Here is a 22,498-nt window from a genome sequence, read left to right as displayed (position 1 = left end):
TGTGCCCTATGTCAATCCCTAAAATGCTGTGTGTCCATGAAATCCCTATGTCTAGAAAGCGTTTCTGGCTGGACGTGGTCGCTCGTGCCTGTAATCCCAGCACTTTCGGAGGCCGAGGCGGGTGGATCACCTGAGGTCGGGAGTTGGAGACTAGCCTGACCAACATGGAGAAACCCCATCTCTACTAAAAATACAAAATTAGCTGGGCATGGTGGCGCATACCTGTAATCCCAGCTACTTGGGAGGCTGAGGCAGGAGAATCGCTTGAACCCAGGAGGCGGAGGTTGTGGTGAGCCGAGATCGTGCCATTACACCCCAGCCTGGGCAACAAGAGCAAAATTCCATCTCAAAAAGAAAGCGTTTCCATATATCGTCTTTTTTTTTTTTTTTGGTCTGAGAGAGTACTCACGGATTTGCGAGAGGCAGCAAGAAATGTACATCTGTTGAGTATACCTACTGGTTAGGCACCAAGCTTTACACATACATGATTTCTTAGCAAATCTTTGCAATTTAAGTTAGGTATTCCCATATTACAGATAAGGAAGTAGTAGTAATGTAGGATAAATAACTTGCCCAAGGAATGTGCTAACGGGAAGGAAGCAAATCCAAGTTTACCTGACTCTAGAACCTGTGATCTTTTTTTTTTTAATAATACCATATCACTCGTTATAGAGAATATCTAAAACTCATTTTAAAGAGAAATAGTGTTCTTTTTTTCTATATATTTTGATGCTACCTTTTAAATTCAGTGTATTCATATAGCAATAACAAGTGTCAGTATTATGCTTTTTTTTTTTTGAGACAGAGTTTTGCTCTTGTTGCCCAGGCTGGAGTGCAATGGTGCGATCTTGGCTCATCGCAACCTCCGCCTCCTGGGTCCAAGCGATTATCCTGCCTCAGCCTCCTGAGTAGCTGGGATTACAGGTGCCCGCCACCACGCCCAGCTAATTTTTTGTATTCTTAGTAGAGATGGGGTTTCACCATGTTGGCCAGGCTGGTCTTGAACTCCTGACCTCAGGTGATCTTGGCCTCCCAAAGTGCTGGGGTTATAGGCATGAGCCACCACGCCCGGCCAGTATTATGCTTTTAAGCTTGCATCCCAACTCGTTTTGTCTTTTTGGTCAAGTAACCACATAAAACCTATCACGAGATAGTCATATAATAATACCCTGATTATCTGCAGTTAAAACAATCAACACCACAGCCGACTACAAGTTCTCAGGCAGAAGTTAGTGAAAGCCAAGCTGCCTCAAAGAGCTGAAGACATCAAGTTTTAAAAAGAAACACTGGATCAATCACAATGCCACCCAGACCTTGAGATTAAAGAAACTGTGCCTGGTTTTTAGAAAGCCAATGGCATAACAATTCAGTCAGGGAGAGTACAGGAGAGTGAGGAAGCCAAAGCAACCAGAGAGATGAGGAGAGGGGAGGGGGAAGGGTAGAGGGAGAAAGCACAGCACTGGCAAGAAGAAAGCAACAAATAATATGTAATTTACTAGAAAGCCTAGAACACTCTAAGACCGTGCTAATCAACAAGGATATGTCCGTGGCTCCCCAACTTCTCACTTACATGCTGAAAACAAATGCAGTAAAGAACATATAAGCATATAGATGAATTCTTAGCACTGTTCAATTTAAAGCTAGAATTAAAAAAATTTTAAGGCATGTAACTAATGCATTATAATTTAGGGATCTAAAATCTGGTCTTCTGTTGCTAAAATTTAAATGATTAAAACAAGAGTTTATTTTTCTTGCATTCCTTGATTTACTGAAGTCAATTAAAAATAAAGTCATGTTTAAACAAGTGTTGGAGACCAACTTTTAATAATACATATTTAATTTTCAGAAACATATGCTAACCATCAACAACATGATCAGGGTTTCATTGCCCCAGATGTTATTTCATTGGTACATTATATTGATATTTACAAAGGCTTTCAAATTCAACAACACAAAACAAAACAGCTTAATTTTTAAAAACTACAATGCTTTAAAAAAATGTAAACAGTTTAATTTTTACATTATTGTAAAAAAGAAGACTCACTCCTTAATGTGGCTTAATTTTTTTTTAAGTGAGCAAAGCCTGGTGCTCATGGATAAAGAATGAAAATAATTCTTTACATAGAAACATTGTGCTCCAGTGTGGCAAAGAAAAAAAAATTATATGTACACATATAAAGAAAAGAATCTTAAGCCCACAATTTAGACCACAAAAAAATCTTGTCCCCAAATTGAGAAATTTATAAAAACCATTTACATATGGTTGTTGACCTACTGGAAACCTATATACCATTTTCAAAACAATAACTCAGTCAAAAGATACCACTTTTATTAAAAATGAAATTTTGTGCAAAAAAAAAATTGTTTAAGCTAGAAACAAGACTATCCCCCCTAGTAAGAGGCCAAAAGAGCCACTGAAATAATTTAACTCTGTTAGATTTAATGCATGTAACCAAAAGGCACATACATGTGATTAATATATTAATATCTTTTCATGCAGAAACTTGTGCATGTTCATAATTATACAACGAAAACACAAACATAACAAAACATAAAGCCTAATGTTTGGCAATGTTATTCTAGCCATATTCCTTTCTACTCTATCAGCCCAGGGTTTCCTAGATCATTAACACTGCCTCTCAAAAAATATATTATATTTGAACAACTTTCAATAAAAATTAAAAAAGTATGTTAGCCTGGAACACTATTTTTTCAGTTTTGATACATATAGAAACTTACTGATATGTTTATTTTAAATGCCATTTCAAATTAAGATACATTTTTTCTTTTATTAACAAACACTTTGATTGCTCCAGTGAAGTCAGCAGAGAGAAGAACTTCTGTGTTATCTGTCTTCATAATACCTTAAAAGTATAAAAAATAGTTTTAAGTTGATTTTTAAAGGAATATGAAGCCTGCTGCCACAATTATCACATGCCCATGACCCTCCAGCTTCAGGGGAGAAGATCATCTCCCCACCTTTTCAGTCTCCTTTTCTGGCTGGCTCCTGTAATTCTTTCATTCTGCTGAATCTCTCCTCTGCTCTGAGGCTCACTTTCACTTACCTTGTCTTAGCTGGTCTTTCCCTGGCTTGAGGATATTACAGTCTCTTGGGGCCTGGATGCTTGGACCTATTCCTAGGCAGCCTAGGCATCTAAGTCATCTAATGCTTCATTGCATGGCAAGAAGCTAGTGTGTCATTCAGCCCCAGGACTGGAGTGCTGGCAGAATCGGATCAGCTGGGCAAGTCTGTTGCTAACAGGGGTGTCTAGCGAGGTTGCCAGTAAGGTTTATTGTATAGCAGACATACTGAAACTGCCATGAAATGAAGTACACACGTTTGCTGTGTGAATGCTGACAGCACCTTTTGCCATATGGTCCTTACTGAAAAGCTATATAACTATGCTGAATGGCATAAATGCTTACCTCTTACATTTGCCAGTTGCATAAAAGCACTTAATAAAAAAATTCAGTGTTAACTAACTCTATTATACATAGGTGAAAACTGAGATTTTAATTTGAGATTTAAAAAAGAAGAAAATAATCCAAACTTTAATTGGAAAGTTGTGGACAGGATGAGTCACACAAAATGGTTTCACTTAGATGTGCTAAAAACATATCCTAAGCCTTTGAACATTCCTTTACCACCCTTTTGGCATATCTCACAGCAGTGCTGTGCAGTAGTAGCAGCAGCAAAGAACTTAGGAATATGAGAAAGGATAGAGAAGAAAATAATTCACCATACATATAAAATGCTTTGTAAGACACAATAATAATGAAAATGATAACAATAATGCCTACTACATGCCAGGCATTTTGCTAGGCACTTTTACACATACAAGTATATATATATATATATATATATATATATATATATATATTTTAGATAGAGTCTCACTCTGTTGCACAGGCTGGAATGCAGTGGCACCATCATAGCTTTCTTGTAACCTCATACTCCTGGGCTCAAAGGATCCTTCCACCTCAGCCTCCCTACAGGCATGCGCCACTGTGCCCGACTAATTATTTAATTTTTTGTGAAGACAGGGTCTTGCTATGTTGTCCAGGCTGGTCTCAAACTCCTGGTCTCAAGTGATCCTCCTGCCTTGGCCTCCCAAAATGTTGGGGTTACAGGCATGAGCCACCATGCCCAGCCTATACATGTCATATCTAATTCTTATTGAAACTCTATAAACTAGGTTATCATCATTATTTTACACATAAGGAAAATTGAGGCTTGAATTGCCAAACACGTCAGGAACAAAGAGAGAGGGGAATTGAATATATTTTGTGATCCCACATTTTGGGTTTAAGAGAGCTTATTCTTAGACTACACCTACATGGGTACAAAATGACAAACACAAATCTGAGTACAATCCACTAAAATTTGTGCCTCTTAAAAAAGGACCCAGTTAGTTAACTGAACCTTGTTAATGTGGTATATTTTTGAGAAGTTAAAAAAAACCCTGTACTTTTTACTTTTCCTCAAATTGTTTTAAAAGCTAGAATTTCCTGTGGAATATGCAGGGGAAGTATATGGAATGTAAAAAGGTAGCACTGGGGAAAAAAGAAAAGAAAAGAAAAAAAGGCCAGGTATGATGTCTCATGCCTGTAATCCCAGTACTTTGGCCAAAGTAGGACTAACCTTTTTGAGGCTAGAAGTTCGAGACCAGCCTGGGCAACATAACGAGAACTCATTGCTAGCAAAAAGAAAAAAAAAAAAAAAATTAGCCAGGCATGGTAGTACGTGTAGTCCTAGCTACTCGGGATGCTGAGGCAGGAAGATTGCTTGAGCACAGGAGTTCAACGTTGCAGTGAGCTATGATTGTACCACTGCACTCTAGCCAGGGCAACAGAGCGACACCATGTCATTCATTCATTCATTCATTCATAAGTTAAAAAAAAAAAGAAAAAACGTAAATGACTTAAGTTAGAAGACAGAAGCTGGATGTGATTCTGAGAAGGAAAGAAAAAGAAAACAGACAGCAGTTAAACAGGCATTTAGTAAAGGTTTAATCATTCTAACTTGGTTTATTTTTGTATCTTGTACTGAAAGAAATGCTAGACTGAAGTTCATCTTTGTTATCAAAATTTTTCTTCACAGACAGAAGGAAAAGTGTCATGAGTGGAGTAGATAGTCCAAATAATACTACAAAAAAATTACTTGAGATTAAAGTACTTGATAACTTTTTACCATTCAAATACTTTAGAAGCACTCTTTGTACACTGTATCTATTCCTGTGGCTTTATGACCTGTTTGTAATCTGTAGCATGAGACAATACAGTCAATAAACTATTATGCAATCGATTTAAAAATTAAAAAAGAATCATATATATATTTTTTGAGTTGGGTGTCCTTCTATGTTGCCCGGGCTGGTCTTCTATGTTGCCCGGGCTCAAGACCTCCTGCCTCAGCCTCCCAAATACCCGGGATTACAGGTACATACCACAACGCCTGCCATATATATATATTTTTAGACAGAGTCTTGCTGTGTCACCCAGACTGGAGTACAGTGGTGCAATCTCAGCCCACTGAAAACTCCACCTTCCCGAGTTCAAGCACTTCTCCTGCCTCAGCCTCCTGGGATTACAGAGGTGTGCAACCATACCTGGCCACTTTTTGTATTTTTAGTAGAGACAGGGTTTCAACATGTTGGCCAGGCTGGTCTTGAACTCCTGACCTCAAGCAATCTGCTCACCTTGGTCTTTTTTTTTTTTTTTTTTCTTTTTTGAGATGGAGTCTCCCTCTGTCACCAGGCTGGAGTGCAGTGGCGTGATCTCGGCTCACTGCAACCTCCACCTCCCTGGTTCAAGCGATTCTCCAGCCTCAGCCTCCTGAGTAGCTGGGACTGCAGGCGTGCACTACCACGCCCAGCTAATTTTTGCAGTTTTTCAGTAGAGACGGGGTTTCACCATGTTGGCCAGGATGGTCTCGAACTCTCAACCTCATAATCCGCCTGCCTTGGTCTCCCAAAGTGCTGGGATTACAGGCGTGAGCCACCGCACCTGGCCCAGATTTTTATATAACTGATTGGCACTCAATATTACTTGCTGACAGTTTCTTCTCCCTTCCTAATATGAGCATTGTATATAACTGGAATTAATATTCATTCTCAAAGCATATATGCTACAAATGGCAAGAAATTACAAACTTGTAAATAGCCACCTATCTCAAGAAGCTGTTAACTTGTGGCAAGTAGAAAAATTAGCCCTGCTTCATTTGGGTTTAATTCATTTAGTCAGCACATGTTCATCAAGCACCTACTATGTGTAGGCAAGCATTGTGAGAGACACTGGCAATACAGCAATAAATAAGACATGAAAAGTCTCTGTCTTCTAGAGATTACAGACTAGTAGGAGAGACAGGTAATAAAGAAGTTTTACATTTGCATATATTGTTTGCACTTCTCTAAAGAGAATGGTTACCCATAGTTATGAACATCCAAATTTCTCTTTTCTTTTTTTGAGATGGAGTCTTGCTCTGTCACACAGGCTGGAGTGCAGTGGCGCGATCTCAGCTCACTGCAAGCTCTGCCTCCCGGGCTCACACCATTCTCTTGCCTCAGCATCCCGAGTAGCTAGGATTACAGGCACCCGCCACCATGCCCGGCTAATTTTTTGTATTTTTAGTAGAGACGGGGTTTCACCGTGTTAGCCAGGATGGTCTCGATCTCCTGACCTCGTGATCCATCTGCCTTGGCCTCCCAAAGTGCTGGGATTACAGGTGTGAGCCACCGCACCAGGCCCAAATTTCTCATTTTTAATTCTCAGGTGAATTTAAAACAGGTAAAACTTTGAGGAAATATATTACTGAAAAGTTCAGAAATGGATATCTGACAACCATTAAGTTGCAAACAAGAAATATTCTTTGGTGGCTCATGCCTGTAATCCCAGCACTTTGGGAGGCTGAGGTGGGTGCATTGCTTGAGCCCAGAAGTTTGAGACCAGCCTGGGCAACATGGTGAAATCCCATCTCTACAAAAAATACAAAAATTAGCTGGGCATGGTGGTGTAGGCCCATAGTCCCAGCTACTTGGGAGGCTGAGGTGGAAGGATCACCTGAGTCCAGGGTGGTTGAGGCTGCAGTGAGCTGTGTGTGACTGCGTCACTGCGCTCCAGCCTGGGTGACAGAGCAAGACCCTGTCTTAAGAAAAAAGAAAAAAGAAATATTCTTTATACTAGTGAAAACCTTATTATACTCAAATGAGATAAATGAGGCTACTAAGTGCTGACTAGAAAAAAATATAGGACAAGTAAAGATTTACCAGAAGGTGTGGCATCCAAAACTTCAGCATCTTCACTTTTCTCGTTCCCTTCTGATTTTTCAGATTGCACATCCAAAGATAACATCAAACTTGGGTTTGGTGCAAAGATGGCTGATGTAACAACTGCATTGTGGGCTGTGGAAAAAATTTACTTCAGGATAACTGACAAATTGGATACCAAGACAAACACGATAGTGTATGTTATATGCCAAATATCCTTAAAAACTAACATAGAAGTAACTAAGAGTGATTTAAAACCCAAAAATTTTTCTAAAAAAAATCACATATAAGTTCTGAAATTCCCTGACTTCTCAAATTTTAGACCAAAGTTCTTCCTTAGTATAGATAAAACAAGCAAAGCCAAATGCAAGGCACTTTATCATTGTCAAACTGCCTCTCTAAAATAATGCCTAAATGAATTTACTTCTTCTTTTTTTTTGTCTTTTTTTTAGACGGAATCTCACTCTATTGCCCAGACTGGAGTGCAGTGGTGCCATCTCGGCTCACTGCAATTTCCACCTCCCAGGTTCCAGCGATTCTCCTGCCTCAGCCTCCCAAGTAGCTGGGACTACAGACGTGTGCCACTATGCCCGGCTAATTTTTTTTGTATTTTTAGTAGAGACAGAGTTTCACCGTGTTAGCCAGGATGGTCTCGATCTCCTGACCTCGTGATACACCCGTATGGGCCTCCCAAAGTGCTGGGATTACAGGCGTGAGCCACTGTGTCCGGTCATGAATTTACTTCTAGTATATATCCACTGTAACTTGATTCTCTTATAAGACACACAAAAGCAAGTATGTACTTACCTTTAATACCTTCCCAGAAGTCATTACGATCTCTCCTGACTGAAGTAAACTTGCTTAGGTCATGGTAGGTACTCCAGATATAAACATACTTATCTTCTGAACCACTAACGAGGTAAGTAAAATCATGGCTGAATTTTGGGGAGAAAGGAAAAGCAAATAAAATGTGTGTGTGTATATGTTTAAAGGTTTCCTTTATCAGTGCTTCCTACTTTGTGATACCTAAAATAACACTTGAAGGGTCTTGTTGAATATGTAGACCCATGGTCTCACTCTAGATGTTCTAAATGTGTACGTGTGATGTAGTGGCCTGGCACTTGTATTTGCATCAAAGCTCTAAGTAACTGTGATGTTAGTTAATCCACGTTGGGAGGAATGATGATTTAAGGTGTGAAAGACAGGAGCAGAATACTTTACCAATTGAATTAATTAATGTATAATTCAAGAAAAAAGAACTGGTAAGAAAACGGCAAAAGAAGAGGGCTAGAAAGAAGAAAAGGTAGCTAACCCTATTTCAGGAGAGTGTCCAGAACCCAAATTAGAAATTTAAATAATAATGATATGTAAAGTTTTGAATACAAGACCCTGTGCTGTGGGGTGTTAAAATGCTTTCTTAGAATCCTAAAAGGTTCCTTCCTTTCCTAAAAGGTTCAAGACAATGGGGCAGGGAGGGGAGTGGCGGGATGAGCCGTAAGCCCCCTCTTAAAAGCGTAAACAAAGGTACAAAAGCAAAAACTCTAGAGATGAGAGTCTTCATAATCTTGGCTCTACAACCATGACTTTAGGCCAATCACTTAATTTTCTGAGTCTTGGTTTCTTCATTTGCAGAACAGGGTCAATTCGAATTCTATATACTATATAGGTGGACAAGGTACGTATTGCATGATAATAAACTACTACTTGCAAAAGTGAAAAGAACCCCATTAAACATAAGGCATAGACCAATGGAAAAATGGAACTAGGGGAGAAATGTCCTGATCTCTTTTGGGAACATCTCATTGCCAATTTACCTGAAACTTGCTTTGATCTGGCTGCTGCTATTGACGTAACCCTTATACTTCATGGATAGTGACAAATCTCTCAAATCATATAGTCTGATTCTGGAGTCATTTGAGGTTACCAATATCTAAAAGTAGATCAAATGAAAAGTTAAAAATATCATCTTTTAGTACAAGCTAAGCTACAACCCAAAAAGGGTGTTACACACATACAAACTAATATACCTCAAAACTAGAAGAAAAGCGGTATTCCACAACAAAGAGAATACATTTTTTTGCCAAGATATTAAGAACTTTCAAGAATCTACATATAGTATGGAGAGAGATGGTTTTGAATACTGTAGTACCTTATTTTCTCCAGGTAAAGGCTCAATGCCAGTAATTTTTCTTCCAACCTTGTTGCGCCCTCTAGTAGATCGGACATGTATTTGTGTATGGTATTTCAAATGCTAAAAATAAACCATACATTTAACATATTAGAATTAGGAGCATGTGTGGTGGCTCGTATCTGTAACTCTAGCTACTCAGGAGGCTGAGGCAGGAGGACTGCTTGAGCCCAAGAGTTCGAGGCTGTAGTGAGCAACAATTGCACCACTACGCTCTAACTTGGGTGACAGAATGAGACTTTGTCTCTATAAAAAAATTCTTTTTGCTTGGGCGTGGTGGCTCACGCCTATAATCCCAGCACTTTGGTAGGCTGAGGCAGGTTAATCACTTGAAGTCAGGAGTTCGAGACCAGCCTGGCCAACACGTTGAAATCCCATCTCTACCAAAAAATACAAAAATTAGCTGAGTGTGGTGGCACGTGCCTATAGTCCCAGCTACTCAGGAGGCTGAGGCACAAGAATCACTTGAATCCAGGAGGTAGAGGTTGTAGTGAGCCGAGATCGCTCCACTGCACTCCATCCTGGGCAACAGAGTGAGACTCCATCTCAAAAAAAAATTTTTTTTAAATTAGAATTAGAAGACATCTCAAAAGTCATCTGTTCCAACTCTTAAGACAGACATGGTATTATTTGTCTCTATTTAGAGAAAATGCAGTTAAAGCCCAGAGGGGATAAGCAACTTGTCCAAAACCATGAAAGTGTTTACTAAGTATACAATTATATAATTTACAAAAAACAATCATTTACCTCTGTATCATAGAAAATACATCTGCCATCATATGTCCCAATCACTGCATATTTGCCATTCTGACAGAAATTTGCAGCTGTGATCAATTTTGTCTGACCATCTACTTCATTCCACAAAGCCACTTTTTTGTCAGGTATGTTCCAAAGGCGGAGCTTTCCATCCAAAGACCCACTTAGAAAATACCTGTCATCCTAAAGAGGTGGCAACAGAGAAAGTTTTCATTTTACCACATCAAGAAAAAACTCATTAGCAAATCAAATCAGTAAGTCTATTAGAATAGTTTAAAAATGTAGATTTCAGGGCCAGGTGCGGTGGCTCACGCCTATAATCCTAGCACTTTGGGGGAGGCCAAGGCAGTGGATCACAAGGTCAAGAGATCGACACTATCCTGGCCAATATGGTGAAACCTCGTCTCTAGTAAAAATATAAAAATTAGCTGGGCATGGTGGTGCGCGGCTGTAGTCCCAGCTACTCGGGAGGCTGAGGCAGGAGAATCGCTTGAACCCAGGAGGTGGAGGTTGCAGTGAGCCAAGATCGCACCACTGTACTCCAGCCTGGCAACAGAGTGAGACTCCGTCTCAAAAAAAAAAAAAAAAAAAAAAAAAAAAAGATTTCATTTAAAAATTTTTATTCTTTAAGCAAGCATTATTTTATGCACTGAAAGCAGTAACAACAATAAGAAACCTCACTATTCACTTTGGAGAAATAAAATTCTAATTATCATATCCTTAAACTGCTGTTTTGCAAGATATGGATGTCAATAGATAAAGTGTTTGAGTGTGTATTGCATGGAAGAAGGTTCTGTGATCAAATAAGTTTGAGAAATTCTGGGTTACAAAAAGTTAAACATGATTCTCAGTTAACCTGCATTTTGAATCTCCAAACAGGATAAAGTAGGTAGCACTTTTCAACATATTTAACCACAGACTTTTTTTGGGGGGGCGTGTTTACGGGAGGTGCTAGACCTTTCAGGAACATGCTATGGGAAACACTATCCTATATCATACCTTCCTCTGGGATACATGTAACACTTGGATAAAGAGTAACATCAGTTAGTGGCCCCCAAAACCAGTCATTTTTGGAACTCTAACACCATGTCAACAGAGAATTACTTCATCATTCAAATTCTGCTCTCAAATCAGCGGTTCTCAACCTGCGGCAATCTGACCTTGCAGGGGACATCTAGCATTATCTGGAGACATTTTGGTTGTCAAAACTGGTGGGAGGATCAGGATGCTACCAGTATTTAGTGTGTAGAGACCAGGGATGCTGCTAAATATCCTATAACGCACAGCCTACTCTCCCCCGTGTAACAAAGAATGTCAATAGTACTAGGATTGAGAAATCTCCTTTAAACTAAATCAGTCCTACCACTAAGCTTGTTTTGTTTTTGGCAACATAAGAATTTTTCTTTCTTTCTTTCTTTTTTTTTTTTTTTGGTGATGGGGTCTCAGTTTGTTGCCCAGGCTGGAGTACAGAGGCTCGATCACGGCTTACTGCAGCCTCGACCTCCTGGGCTCAAGTAATCCTCTCACCTCAGCCTCCCAAGTAGTTGGGATCACAGAAGCACACCACCATACCGGGCTAATTTTAAATTTTTTTATAAAAATGGGGTCTCCCTATGTTGCCCAGGCTAGTCTCAAACTCCTGGCCTCAAGTGATCCTCCTGCCTCAAACTCCCAAAGTGCTGGGATTATAGGAGTGAGCCACCATACCCAGCCAAGATTCTTCTTCTTCTTTTTTTTTCCTTCCCCCACCCCAAATCCCCCTGCCCTAAGGGTTTCTGTTCCTTGCCAAAGATTATTATTCTTACCCATCTCTGAAACCTGTCAAAGACAATCTACAAATAATGTAAGCTCACTCAATGTGTACCAGTAGAAGAGGTGAACAAGTAAAAATACTTTAACTTAGTCTTCTAATTCAGAATTGTCACATACATACATCTATGTATGTGTATCTCCATTTTGCTATTCCTTTTTTTTTGAGACGGAGTCTCATTCTGTCACTCAGGCTGGGGTACAGTGGTACAATCTTGGCTCACTGCAACCTCCGCCTCCTTGGCTCAAGCAATTCTCCTGCCTCAGCCTCCTGAGTAGCTGGGATTATAGGCATGCAACACGACGGCCGGCTAATTTTTGTATTTTTATTAGAGACAGGTTTTCACCATGTTGGCCAGGCTGGTCTTGAACTCCTGACCTCAGGTGATCCACCCGCCTCGGCCTCCCAAAGTGCTGGGATTACAGACATGAGCCACCACGCCTGGCCCATTTTGCTATTTCTTTTCTAACTCTGCTACCTTTCTTCCTTTAACATTATAATAAAAGTCATATTTCCCCCCCAAAAAAAGGCATCACTACCCTATTCTTTCCTAGCCCCTCTTAAAAACACTCCAGGTCAGTACGATTTTTAGAAATAGGGCTTTATAGTTTCCAAAATAAAACCAAATAAAAGCACTATAAAAAATCATTGGCTGGGCCAGGCGCAGTGGCTCACGTCTGTAATTCCAGCACTTTGTGAGGCTGAGGCAGGCGGATCACTTGAGGTCAAGAGTTGTAGACCAGCCTGGCCAACATGGTGAAACTCTATCTCTAATAAAAATATGAAAATTAGCTGGATGTGGTGGTGCATGTCTGTAATCCCAACTACTTGGGAGGCTGAGGCAGAACTGCTTGAACTCGGGAGGTGGAGGTTGCAGTGAGCCGAGATTGTGCCACTGCACTCCAGCCTGGAGACTGTCTTCAAAAAAAAAAAAAAAAAAAAACATGGCTGAACAGAAAGTTTAATAAATAATAAAATACCACATGGAAAACAACTGGATGGGTGCAGTGGTTCATGCTTTTAATCCTAGCACTTTGGGAGGCCGAGGTGGGCAGATCGCTTTGAGCCTAGGAGTTTGAGACCAGCCTGGGCAACATGGCAATACCCTGTCTCTACTAAAAATACAAAAATTAGCTAGGCATAGTGCAGGCATAGTGGTGCATGCCTGTAGTCCCAGCTACCTGGGGAGCTGAGGCAGGAGTATCACCCGAGCCAGGGAAGTTGAGGCTGCAGTAAGCCAAGACTGCACCACTGCACTACAGCCTGGGTGACAAAGTGATACCCTGTCTCCAAAAATAGATAAATAAAAAGAAAAGAAAAGAAAAGAAAGAGAAAGAAAACGAACACAACCAAATATCTCTTTCCAAGCTGATACTTTATAGCTAAAATAGTTATGGAAAGATTTATGGATGGAAAGATTTTGCTCACAGTTGCTGATGGGGTAAATCCATCCTTTTGTTGTGTGTATAGGGAACAGGGATGGGGGTGTTATTCAGAAACAGGACTCTAATGACTTGATCATCAAAACTGGTAAGAATTAACATAGTTTTTTTGTGTGTGATAAAGGTGGGGTCTCACTGTGTTGTCCAGGCTGGTCTTGAACTCCCAGCCTAAAGCCATCCTCCCACCTCAGCCTCCCAAAGTGCGGAGATTATAGGCGTGAGCCACCAAAATTCTTAACCAAGTCTTCTTCCTCTTTTTTTTTTTTTTATTTTGAGACAGAGTCTCGCTCTATTGCCCAGGCTGGCGCGATCTCAGCTCACTGCAGCCTCTGCCTCCTGGGTTCAAGTGATTCTCTTGCCTCAGCCTCCCGAGTAGCTGGGACTACAGGCACCTGCCACCATGCCTGACTAACGTTTGTATTTTTAGTAGAGACAATGTTTCACCATGTTGGCCAGGTTGGTCTTGATCTCTTGACCTCGTGATCTGCCCACCTTGGCCTCCCAAAGTGCTGGGATTACAGGTGTGAGCCACCGCGCCTGGCCCTTAACCAAGTCTTCAAGGGTTCGGAATTATCACTGCTTATGTTACAAGCCTGCTCAGGGAAGGAAAGTATATTGAAAACAAGTCAGTCTTCTTAATTTGGGGGAGATGAAGAAATGTGAATATGATTAAAATGTTACATTAAAAAGATAATGTGTGTTAAACATATAAAGATGAGGACACCACTGGAAATGTAATCATAACACCAACTTAGGTAAGGGAAACTTGTTGCTAGGGTCAGCTCGAGTCCTCTGCTTAATAGAGCTAGTGCAGTCAGCACCAACATGTGATTTCCCTTTTGCTTACAGTTGCAAAAATCTGTAACTAATTTAGCCTTAAGCATTTGGTGGCTCCATCCTCTAAGGGCATACAATAGGTCTGCAATTCCATGACAGCAGATTTTTCTCATTTGGCTGAAATCATATGAAATACTTTATTTCTGGGGGAAAGATATGAAAGGATTTTCTATACTGAAAAGGAATAAAGAAGGGATATCAAGACTAACAATATGAATTCAGTGTATCTTGTAATGAATTTTCGTCTTTGCCTCTTTCAGTCTTTTTCTCTGTCTCTTCCCTCCCCAATCTTCTCATTATTTCTGCCTAGGTACTTCCCTTTCTCATTTATCCATCTGCTGTCTCTTCTTCCTCCATCTCCAATATCTCTCATCTTTAATAGGATACTTTATTTCATTTATTTATACCTTGCATGTCTTAATAAAGATTTAGGATATAATATCCCCAGTTTTTCTAATGCAGATCAGCAGAATATTTCCTTTCTCATTTCTAAAGCAAAATGAAACACAAAATTAAATTGCTCATAACTATGTAGCTGTTAATAATTTTTTTCCTGTAGTCCAATTGCCCTCTAGAGAAATCAGGTTCTCTCACCTTCCTTAGAGGTTAACAAAAACATGTATAAATAGTTACTTACTCTTGGATGAAAAGCTATGGCAGTGACAAAATCTATATGTTGAAAACAGCAAAGGCATTCTCTTCGAGAAATGTGCCATAATCTGACTGTTTTATCCATTGAAGAAGAAAGAAGAAAGTAGTTCTATGGGGAAAATGACATTGACTATGTTATCACTATATGAAAAAGAACCCTATTTATACAATAAAAGTGAACTTTTGGTTTTTGTATCTCAACAGTTTTGTTATTGTTAAATGCAGCATCGGAAAGAACAAAAGATTATCAAATTCACTTGGAAGATCCTATTTTCCCCCAAACAGTTAAGTACCATATTTCACTGATTCTAAAACTTTTTGACATTACCTGTTCTGAAATTCAGATGAATCTTATCAATGTCTAAAGAAATCTGCCAGGCACCAGCAGAGAACTAAGGTGTGCCTTAGTTGTTATCACCTGCACATATTGGAACTTAGCTATCAGTATAAGGCATCTATTCATTTTATTGTCACTTCAGTTATTTTCACATTGATAACACTGGTGAATTTTAACTCACATAGATCTCTAATTGTCATTTAAAATGTCTTCAAAAAGATTACCCTATAATGCAGCATGGAAATGAAAAGTTATTGTGCACCTGTCACACTCTAGGCAAGAAAATTAGAGAATAGAAATTGTCAAATCTTTCAGAATAGATCACAGAATGTTCAAGGCTAGAAGATGGTAGTGTAACTGACTTAGGCACCGTGATGGCCCCATCGCCCAGGAAACAAACATCTATCTGTCAAAAGCTTTCAGCTGGCAGAAGCTCATTAATTCCTCAACATAATCTATTTAAGGAGGAGAACTATGAGTTATACTGAATGAGAAAACTCAAATGATACCTCTGTATTCTTTGGTGTGCCTAAAGGTGCTAAACAAATCAAGGCAATGGTGACATTGATCGCATACTTACGATGTGTTAAGCATTGTTCTTCGCATTATATAGCAACACTATGAAGTAGGTACATTGTGGTATACCTGTTTTCAAATAGATGGTATACTTTATGATTAAAAGTAAAGAATTAAAAAACAGAATTTGGAAATTTACAATAATCTTTGAAATATCTAACAATCATTTTTATTTTCAAGATCCACTCAGTTCCAGAAAAGTTTTTAAGAGTATATGCAGTTTGCATTATAATTTCCTGTTGATTAATACCAACTGTATAAAAACTTAACCTATGGCACACCATGAACCTATGTTCATTAAAACTGACTTTATTTGGCTGGACACAGTGGCCCATGCCTGTAATCCCAGCACTTTGGGAGGCTGAGGCAGGTGGATCATTTGAGGTCAGGAGTTCGAGATCAGTCTGGCCACCATGGTGAAACCCCATCTCCACTAAAAATAAAAAAAAAAATTAGCTGGGCGTGGTGGCCCACGCCTGTAATTCCAGCTACTCGGGGAGGCTGAGGCAGGAGAATCGCTTGAACCTGGGAGATGGAGGTTGCAGTGAGCTGAGATCGTGCCACTGCACTCCAGCCTTGGCAACAGAGCGAGACTCTGTCTCAAAAAAAAGAAAACAGAAGAAAAAAACAAAAAACAGAAACTGACTGTATTCAATTCCTGCAATAGCTCATTGCTTTGAGCATATGAAAGAGGTATGAAGACATCCCTAAAATATTAAGTGAAGGTGCTGAAGACATGTTAAGACTTGTTCCAAATAAGTATTCTTTAAGAAAGACTTGTTCTTTTATAAGTATTTAATAAATACTTTTTATTAAATAAACGAAATTAAATAACGTTCTTAAACTAAGCACTGATCTTAGAAGTCAGATAAATTAGATTAAAATCTAAGTTCTACCCATAACTAATTTTGTGATTTTAGATAGGTCACAGGGGCTCAATCTCTTCCTCGAGACAAAATCAGGTTGTCTACCTCACGGGGTTGTTATTGTAAGAATTAACACGGTAATTCTTGTTATTGGCACAAAATACACCTTCAACAAATAGAAAACTCACTAAAAACACTGTGATAGACATTAAAGAGAAACAATATCTGGTTTGAGTTGGTGTTTGAAAAGCAAAAAACAGTAAAATAATATCTGGTTCCTACCCTGGAGAGGCTTAGAATCTTGTTGCAGAAATTTTGTTCCTTTCCTCTGGATGGAGGTGGGGTGGAGGGGTTGGGGATATGAGGATAGACCTTTAGGAACCATTCCTGCATGGGGCAGCACCTCATTGAAATAACTCATCTAGACTAGTGCTTCTCAGACTATTTCTGGTGAAGGATTGTTTTTGTTTTTTTAAATTTCCAATGAGTTGTGGACTGAAACTATTTTAAAATACAGAAAACATTTACTAGAAAAATGAAATAAAAATAAAAGTCATATAAAATAAAAGCCCCATTTTGTATTATTATACAAAATAGAAGCCCAAGTTTTAAAAGATTAAACAGGTATAAACTTATTGTGAAAACTGCCATAAACACTTCTAAATAGTTTACTCTTGGTTTCTGCACTTATCTCTTCACAGACTGGTATTCTATATTTGTATCGTCAAGGACCAGGAAGACCAGGTGGTTTATAGGCTGGCACCAGTCCTTAAAAATGCACATTACTCACTTGAGACAATTAGGTAGCTGGATAGATACTAAATCATATTACTGCTGCCTCCTAAGAGATAGAATGGAAATAAAGTATAAAACGGAAAGTATAAAAAATTTATGATTTCTTAAATCTTTCAACGTGTCCAACATTTGTTATTTTTGTCATCCTGTTTCCTTGTAGTGATTAGCTACTGTGACACTGGAATGGGCTAGAGAGTAATGCTCCGAAGTCATAGGGTTTGAACCTAAACTCCCGTATCTCCCTAGCTATACGCCTTTAAGCATGTTCTTTAACACGTATGACCCTTGGTTTTAAATCCTTGATAAGGAAACATCAACAATCGCATAAGGTTGTTTTGAGGGTACGAACAGAGCACATGTAAAGTACTTAACTTTTGTCTGTGTCCCCAGTGGCTAAAATGCTACTTGGCAGATAGTGATGATGATGATGATGACGATCATTGCTAATATTAACTGAGCATTATTATGTTCTAGGCAAGTGTTTTATATTTACTAGCTCAGTTAATCATTATCATCACTGCTAATATTAATTGAACATTTATTATGTTCTAGGCAAGTGCTTTATATTTACTAGCTCAGTTAATCTTTCCCTGTTATAACACTATGAGGAAGGTATTTTTATTATGTCTATTTTGCAGATGAGGCATGGTGAGGTTAAATAACTTGCCCAAGGTCACATAATGTAAGGGGCAGACTAGGAAGAATATGTACCTTGGGAGTCTGGCTCCAGGGGTCATTTCTTAACCAGGTGGTAAAATGATCAACAGATATGTTTTGAGTGAATGAAAAGTACTTGGTACATAGCAGGTATAGTTGCACAGGTTCTCAATTTTTTTTTTTAACTATTACATATTTCCTCCATGAAGGAAACAAGGGAATAGTCAGTGAGATAGGAAGGGAATCTAGAACATACAGTGCTCCAAAATCAAGTAGTTCAAGAAAGATCAATAGCATCAAATCATCAAATGCTAGAGAAAGGTTAAGGAGAATGAGTTCAAAGAAAAGGTGTTAATTCTGGTAAGAAGGTGGTTATAACAGTTAATTTTATGTATCAACTTAGCTATACTCAATTATTTAATTATTAAGCTAGTACTCAATTATTTAATCAAACACCAATCTAGTTGTTGCTGTGAAGGTATTCTGTACATGTGATTAATACCTATAATCAGTTGATTTTAAGTAAAGGAGATCACCCTTGACTATGTGGGTGGGCCTCATCCAATCAGTTGAAGGCCTTAAGACAAAAAACTGAGGTTTCCCGGAGAAGAAATTCTGCTTTAAGACTACAGCATCAGCTCCTTATACGCAGAATTACTATATGATTCAAATAAGAATTTCTTACTTTAGACCATGAAAGATCAAGGAGATCAGCAGTATGTCCTTTATATTTGCAAAATGGCCGTTGCCGAAAGGGTGCGTTTTTATCATCAGGGTCTTCATCAGTTCCACTGCATACCTATTTGGATATAAAGATAAACTTTGAAACTGCAATGTAAAACTAGTTTCACATTCTTCCCACCCCATCTGTTCTCTCAGCATTTTGTATGATGCCTGATTGAAATCTTGAGTCACCAAAAGCAAGCTCCCCTTTATGCTGATTTACTACTTAGCACCTCTTCCTTTCATCTCCTTGCCCTAACAAACCAGGGTCATCCCTGAAGACATCGTGCTGTCACAATCTTTTCCCTCCCTAATAGAGCCCCTAATAAGCATCTGTTCCTTCAGGAGAGGTGACGGCCAGTACCAGCGAGTGAATCATGATTGGTCTAAGCTAATGAAGATTAGCTGATTTCCCTTCCCAGTGATGACTGGTTAGGCATGTGGTACAATTTCCATGAATTAGACATTGGGCAAAGTTTATGGGGTGGGGATGAGGGAAGGCTTCTAGAGAGATTTTCTCACCCTTAAAGAGGGTCATACTAATAGGACTCCTCCTTTCCTGCATCTGAACATTGCTGACTTCATGTGACAACTAAGACTGTAGCAGCCATCTTAAGACCATAGTGTAAAAAGCCGAAAGGAACAAAACAAAGAGTACAAAGCAGGGAGATAGTAGGACGATGCTACTGAGCTGCTGAATTAACCAACCCTGGAACCGCCTTACCTCCAGAGTTGCTTCCTCATTGTTTAAGCCATTTTCAGTTGGATTTCTGTTATTTGAAGTCAAAAGCATACTGACAGAGGTAGGTAGAAAATAATGCCATACATGTGTACTGTGCATCTAGTTACAACGTGCTTTCGTATTCATTATCTGAATAAATTCTAACAATTCTTTGAGGTAGGTATTAACAGTATAAAGATGAAGAAATTAGTAAAAACAAACAAACAAACAAACAAACAAAACACACAACAAACCCCTGAGGATCAAAGAGGTTAAAATAATATATTAAAGGCCACACAGCCACCTGTGAACAGCAGAACCAAAGCAGTAATACAAGTCATCTAACTGTAAGTCCAAAGTTTGTCCTTCAAATGTTTTACATGACATAGCATGAGCAAGAACAGAGGGTTAGCTAAGCCTCGCATATTTAGGGAAAGGTAGGTAGGATGATGAGGACAGAGAAAACAGTATATGGAGATGTAGTCAGAAATTAGGGTAGAAAGGTACTTTGGGATCACATTCAAAAAGGCCTTGGCGAGGCACGGTGGCTCATGCCTGTAATCCCAGCATTTTGGGAGGCCGAGACAGGCAGATCACCTGAGGTCGGTAGTTCAAGATCAGCCTGACCAACATGGAGAAACTCCGTCCCTACTAAAAACACAGTATTAGCTGGGCATGGTGGCGCATGCCTGTAATCCCAGCTACTTGGGAGGCTAAGGCAGGAGAATCGCTTGAACCCAGGAGGTGGAGGTTGCGGTGAGCTGAGATCACAGCATTGCACTCCAGCATGGGCCACAAGAGCGAAACTCTGTCTCCAAAAATACATAAATAAATAAAATAAAATAAACAATAAAAAGGCCTCAAATTTGTGGCTTAAAAGTTCAGACATGGAGAGCCAACACAGGTTTCTGAAAGGAAAAAACCACCACCATCTTACCGGTGCTTCAGAAAAAGAACTCTGGGCAGTAATGTAAAAGATGGTTTGGAGAGAGCATGGAGGCAGGAAAAGCAGTCAATAAGTTTAAGTAAGAATAATGAGGGCTTGAATGAGGACAGTGGCATGGGGATAGATTAAAAACTACCACTATTATTCGTGTAGAACTTTACAGTTTATAAAAAACATCTTCACATCAACCATGGAGGTAGACCACCAACACAGACTCCTGTAACCTTTGCCAAGCACTTCTAATGCTAGATGACTACCATCCTCGCCCCCCTCAATTTTACTACCAGACTAGTGAGCACTGCTGGGAGACATACAGCTAAACAGGCTTCCCTCATTACATACAAATCAGATTCGGAGTTTCACTCTTGTTGCCTAGGCTGGAGTGCAATGGCATGATCTTGGCTCACTGCAACCTCTGTCTCCCAAGTTCAAGCCATTCTACTGCCTCAGCTTCCCAAGTAGCTGAGATTACAGGCACATGCCACCACGCCTGGTTAATTTTTTATATTTTTGGTAGACACAGGGTTTCACCATGTTGGCCAGGCTGGTCTTGAACTCCTGACCTCAGGTGATCCACCCGCCTCGGCCTCCCAAAGTGCTGGGATTACAGGTGTGAGCCACCATGACCAGACTAAATTTTTTTTTTTTTTTAGATGGAGTCTCACTGTCACTCAGGCTGGAGTGCAGTGGTGCAATCTCGGCTCACTGCAACCTCTGCCCTCTGGGTTCAAGTGATTCTCCTGCCTCAGCCTCCTGAGTAGCTGGGATTACAGGCGCCTGCCACCGTGCCTGGCTAATTTTTGTATTTTTGGTAGAGACGGCGTTTCACCATCTTGGCCAGGCTGGTCTTGAACTCCTGACCTCATGATCCACCAGCCTCGGCCTCCCAAAGTGCTGGGATTACAGGTGTGAGCCACCACACCCAGCCTAAATTTTTTAAGTTATAAAATAATACATGATCAGTGTAGACAATTCGGAGAACAAAAAAAAAAAAACAGAAAAATTAACATCACCCCAAACCTGCTAACGTTTTGTCTCTCTTCAATCTTTCATTTTTAAAAAATGTATTTGAAATCATATTAAACATGAAATTTACCAATCTTCCTATTATACCATGAGCATTTTCTGTATTTCATGCTTTGAAAACATTTAGTAGCTGCATAATATGGATGCATCACGATTAATCATTCTTCCTTTGTTGGTCACTTAGACATTTCCAACTTTTCTGCTAATAAAAACAGTAATTCGGCCAGGCGTGGTGGTTCACTCCTGTAATCCCAGCACTTTGGAAGGCTGAGGCAGCCGGATCACCTGAGGTCAGGAGTTGGAGACCAGCCTGGCCAACATGGTGAAACTCCATCTCTACTAAAAATACAAAAATTAGCCGGGCGTGGTGCACACCTGTAATCCTAGCTACTCGGGAGGCTAAGGCAGGAGAATCACTAGAACCTGAGCGAGACTCTGTCTCAAAAACAAACAAACAAACAAAAAACAAAAACAAACAAATAAATAAAACCCAGCAATTCAATGAATGCCCTGGAACATGAATCTTTGAATCTTTATCCACATTTGACTATTTCCTTATCTTTTTTTTTTTTTTTGAGACTGAGTCTTGCTCTGTCACCCAGGCTGGAGTGCAGTGGCACGATCTTGGCTCACTGCAACCTCTGTCTCCTGGGTTCAAGCAATCCTCCTGCCTCAGCCTCCCGAGAACCTGGGATTATAGGCACACAGCACCACACCCATCTAATTTTTGTATTTTTAGTAGAGACAGGGTTCCACTATGTTGGCCAGGCTGGTCTCGAACTCCTGATCTCAAGTGATCCACCTGCCTCAGCCTCCCAAAGTGCTGGGATTACAGGCGTGAGCCACTGTGCCTGGCCTATTTCCTTATCCTTATATTAGGGTTATTACTGGGTCAAAAAGTTTAA

The 22,498-nt window shown here is 39.7% G+C and overlaps 1 protein-coding gene across 4 annotated transcripts in view; it reads right to left on the bottom strand.

The window, feature by feature from the left end:
• The window catches only part of WDR44 (WD repeat domain 44), a 103,889-nt gene continuing 83,186 nt past the window's right edge, over nt 1,796–22,498 (bottom strand). For 2 of the 4 annotated variants that reach the window (NM_019045.5, XM_011531353.4), the window contains 8 exons: nt 18,863–18,976; nt 14,933–15,055; nt 10,198–10,389; nt 9,412–9,513; nt 9,077–9,192; nt 8,070–8,197; nt 7,263–7,397; nt 1,796–2,864 (listed from right to left, as the gene is read on the bottom strand). In NM_019045.5, coding sequence (NP_061918.3) covers nt 2,770–2,864; nt 7,263–7,397; nt 8,070–8,197; nt 9,077–9,192; nt 9,412–9,513; nt 10,198–10,389; nt 14,933–15,055; nt 18,863–18,976 — 1,005 coding nt within the window. In that variant the 3' untranslated portion in view covers nt 1,796–2,769. The remainder of the gene's footprint in view (nt 2,865–7,262; nt 7,398–8,069; nt 8,198–9,076; nt 9,193–9,411; nt 9,514–10,197; nt 10,390–14,932; nt 15,056–18,862; nt 18,977–22,498) is intronic. The other 2 variants (NM_001184965.2, NM_001184966.1) reach the window with 2 other exon arrangements.

Source organism: Homo sapiens, chromosome X, assembly GCF_000001405.40.
Source record: "Homo sapiens chromosome X, GRCh38.p14 Primary Assembly".
Lineage (NCBI taxonomy): Eukaryota > Metazoa > Chordata > Mammalia > Primates > Hominidae > Homo > Homo sapiens.
Note: the sequence above shows the minus strand (reverse complement) of the source record. Positions and strands in the feature narration are given on the sequence as shown.